This window comes from Homo sapiens, chromosome 6 (genome assembly GCF_000001405.40).
Source record: "Homo sapiens chromosome 6, GRCh38.p14 Primary Assembly".
Lineage (NCBI taxonomy): Eukaryota > Metazoa > Chordata > Mammalia > Primates > Hominidae > Homo > Homo sapiens.
This window is the reverse complement of record NC_000006.12, coordinates 54,821,367-54,825,328: the sequence shown is the minus strand read 5'-3', so window position 1 is coordinate 54,825,328 and position 3,962 is coordinate 54,821,367. Positions and strand designations below refer to the sequence as shown.

General features: G+C 41.7%; 2 annotated features.

The window, feature by feature from the left end:
• Positions 324-824: an enhancer, noted in NCBI's record as "H3K4me1 hESC enhancer chr6:54689303-54689803 (GRCh37/hg19 assembly coordinates)". NCBI's record gives its function as "activates a minimal SCP1, AML or CMV promoter by ChIP-STARR-seq in naive and primed H9 embryonic stem cells {active_cell/tissue: H9 hESC(naive and primed)}" and the evidence as "EXISTENCE:reporter gene assay evidence [ECO:0000049][PMID:30033119]".
• Positions 825-1,325: an enhancer, noted in NCBI's record as "H3K4me1 hESC enhancer chr6:54688802-54689302 (GRCh37/hg19 assembly coordinates)". NCBI's record gives its function as "activates a minimal SCP1, AML or CMV promoter by ChIP-STARR-seq in naive H9 embryonic stem cells {active_cell/tissue: H9 hESC(naive)}" and the evidence as "EXISTENCE:reporter gene assay evidence [ECO:0000049][PMID:30033119]".

Genomic DNA, 3,962 nt, shown 5'->3' with positions numbered 1-3,962 from the left:
TGAAACAATTGAAATGTCTATTACAGATGAATGGATAAACGAAAGGTGGTGTTTGCAAATAGTAGAATATCATCATCTAGTACTTTTACCATTTCATTTTATAAATTTTAATATTGGATCCATTGGTCAATTGCAGAAACCAGGTAAATTTTAAATAAAAAAATTTTATATAAAGACATTTATCGGGGATCTGTCAAGATGGCCGAATAGGAACAGCTCCTGTCTGTAGCTCCCAGTGAGACCACCACAGAAGGTGAGTGATTTCTGCATTACCAACTAAGTGGTACCTGGAACTCCAGCAAGAGAGAACCGTTCACTCCCCTGGAAAGGGGGTTGAAGCCAGGGAGCCAAGTGGTCTCACTCAGTGTGTCCCACTCAGTGTGTCCCACTCCCATGAAGCCCATCAAGCTAAGAACCACTGGCTTGAAATTCTCACTGCCAGCACAGCAGTCTGAAGTCAACCTGAGATGACCCATCTTGGTCGGGGGGAAGGGGCGTCAGCCATTACTGAGGCTTGAGTAGGCGGTTTTCCCCTGACAATGCTAAGGAGGCCGGGAAGTTCAGACTGGGTGGAGCTCAACACAGTGCAGCAAAGTGGCTGCGGCCAGACTGCCTCTCTAGATTCCTCCTCTCTAGGCAGGGCATGTCTGAAAGAAACACAGCAGCCCCAGTCAGGGGCTTAGAGATAAAACTCCCATCTCTCTGGGACAGAGCACCTGGGGGAAGGGGAGGCTGTGGACTCAGCTTCAGTGGAATTAAACCTTCCTGCCTGCCAGCTCTGAAGACAGCAGCAGGTCCTGACAAGGAGGATTCTTCCAGCACAGCGCTCGAGCTCTGCTAAGGGACAGACTGCCTCTTCAGGTGGGTTCCTGACCCCCGTGGCTCCTGACGGGGAGAGACCTCCCAGCAGGGGTTGACAGCTACCTCATACAGAAGAACTCTGGCTAGCATCAGGCCGGTGCCCCTCTGGGACAAAGCTTCCAGAGGAAGGACCATGCAGCAGTCTTTCCTGTTCTGCAGCCTCCGCTGGTGATACCCAGGCAAACAGGGTCTGGAGTGGACCTCCAACAAACTCCAGCAGACCTGCAGCAGAGGGACCTGACTGTTAGAAGAAAAACTAACAAACAGAAAGCAATAACATCAACATCAACAAAAAGGACCCCCACACAAAAACCCCATCGAAAGGTCATCAGCCTCAAAGATCAAAGGTAGATAAAACCACGAAGATGAGGGAAAACCAGTGCAAAAGTGCTGAAAATTCCAAAAACCAGAATGCCTTTTCTTCTCCAAATGATCGCAACTCCTCTCCAGCAAGGGCTCAAAACTGGATGGAGAATGAGTTTGATGAATTGATAGAAGTAGGCTTCAGAAGGGGGGTAATAACAAACTCCTCTGAGCTAAAGGAGCATGTTCTAAACCAATGCAAGAAAGCTAAGAACCTTCATAAAAGGTTACAGGAACTGCTAACTAGAAAAACCAGTTTAGAGAAGAATATTAATGACCTGATGGAGCTGAAAAACACAGCACAAGAACTTCATGAAATATACACAAGTATCAATGGCCAAATTGATCAAGTGGAAGAAAGGATATCAGAGATTGAAGATCAACTTACTGAAATAAGGCGTGAAGACAAGACTAGAGAAAAAAGAATAAAAGGCCAGGTGCAGTGGCTCACGCCTGTAATCCCAGCACTTTGGGAGGCTGAGGCTAGCAGATCATGAAGTCAGGAGATGGAGACCACAGTGAAACCTCGTCTTTACTAAAAATACAAAAAATTAGCCAGGTGTGGTGGTGGGTGCCTGTAGTCCCAGCTACTTGGGAGGCTGGGGCAGGAGAATGGTGTGAACCTGGAAGGCGAAGCTTGCAGTGAGCTGAGATCATGCCACTGCACTCCAGCCTGGGCAACAGAGCAAGACTCTGTCTCAAAAAAAAAAAAAAAAAAAAAAAAAAGAATAAAAAGGAGCAAGTAAAGCTTCCAAGAAATATGGGACTATGCGAAAAGACCAAACCTATGATTGATTGGTGTACCTGAAAATGACAGGGAGAATGGAACCAAGTTGGAAAACACACTTCAGGATATTATCCAGGAGAACTTCCCCAACCTAGCAAGACAGGCCAACATTCAAATTCAGGAAATACAGACTAATATACTCCTTGAGAAGAGCAACCCCAAGATACATAATCATCAGATTCTCCAAGGTTGAAATGAAGGAAAAAATGTTAAGGGCAGCCAGAAAGAAAGGTCAGATTACCTACAAAGAGAAGCCCATCAGACTAACAGTGGCTCTCTCTGCAGAAACCCTCCAAGTCAGAAGAGAGTGGGAGCCAATATTCAACATTCTTAAAGAAAAGAATTTGCAACCCACAATTTCATATCCAGCCAAACTAAGCTTCATAAGTGAAGGAGAAATAAAATCCTTTCCAGACAAGCAAATGCTGAGCGATTTTGTCACCACCAGGCATGCCTTACAAGAGCTCCTGAAGGAAGCACTAGATATGGAAAAAAACAAAACAACAACAACAACAAAAAATGGTACCAGCCACTACAAAAACACACCAAAATATAAAGACCAATGACACTGTGAAGAAATAGCATCAACTAATGTGCAAAATAACCAGCTAGAATCATGATGACAGGATCAAATTCACACATAACAATATTAACCTTAAATGGGCTAAATGTCCCAATTAAAAGACACATACTGGCAAATTGCAAAAAGACTCAAGACCTATTGGTGTGCTATATTCAAGACACCTATCTCATGTGCAAAGATGCACATAGGCTCAAAATAAAGGGATGGAGGACTATTTATCAAGCAAATGAAAAGCAAGAAAATACAGGGGTTGCAATTTTAGTCTCTGATAAAAAAGATGTTAAACCAACAAATATCAAAAAAGACATAGAAGGGCGTTACATAATGGTAAAGGGATCGATGCAATAAGAAGAGCTAATTATCCTAAATATATATGCACCCAATAGAGGAGCACCCAGATTCATAAAAAAAGTTCTTAGAGACTTACAAAGAGACTTAAACTCCCACACAATAGAAGTGGGAGACTTTGACAACCCACTGTCAATATTAGACAGATCAACGAGACAGAAAATTAACAAGGATATCCAGCTCTTGAACTCAGCTCTGGACTAAGTGGACCTAATAGACATCTACAGGACTTTCCACCCCAAATCAACAGAATATACATTCTTCTCACTGCCACATGGCACTTATTCTAAAATCAACCACACAATTGGAAGTAAAACATTCCTCAGCAAATGCAAAAGAATGGCTATCATAACAAACAGTCTCTCAGAACACAGTGCAATCAAATTAGAATTCAGGATTAAGAAATTCACTCAAAACTACACAACTACATGGAAATTGAACAACCTGGTCCTGAATGACTACTGGGTAAATAATGAAATTAAGGCAGAAATAAATAAGTTCTTTGAAACCAATGAGAAAAAAAAGGCAAAGTACTAGAATCTCTGGGACTTAGCTAAAGCAGTGTTAAGAGGGAAATTTATAGCACTGAATGCCCACATCAGAAAGCAGGAAAGATCTAAAATCAACACCCTAATATCACAATTCAAATAACTAAAAAAGCAAGAGCAAACAAATTCAAAAGCTAGCAGAAGACAAGAAATAACTAAGATCAGAACAGAACTGAAAGAGATAGAGACACAAAAAACCCTTCAAAAACTCAGTGAATCCAGGAGCTGATTATCTGAAAAGATTAACAAAATAGATAGACCACTAGTCAAACTAATAAAGAAGAAAAGAGAGAAGAATCAAATAGACACAATAAAAAATGATAAAGGGGATAGCACCACTGATCCCACAGAAATACAAACTACAATCAGAGAATACTATAAACACCTCTATGCAAATAAACTAGAAAATCTAGAAGAAATAGATGAATTCCTGGGCACATACACCTTCCCAAGAATAACCAGGAAGAAGTCG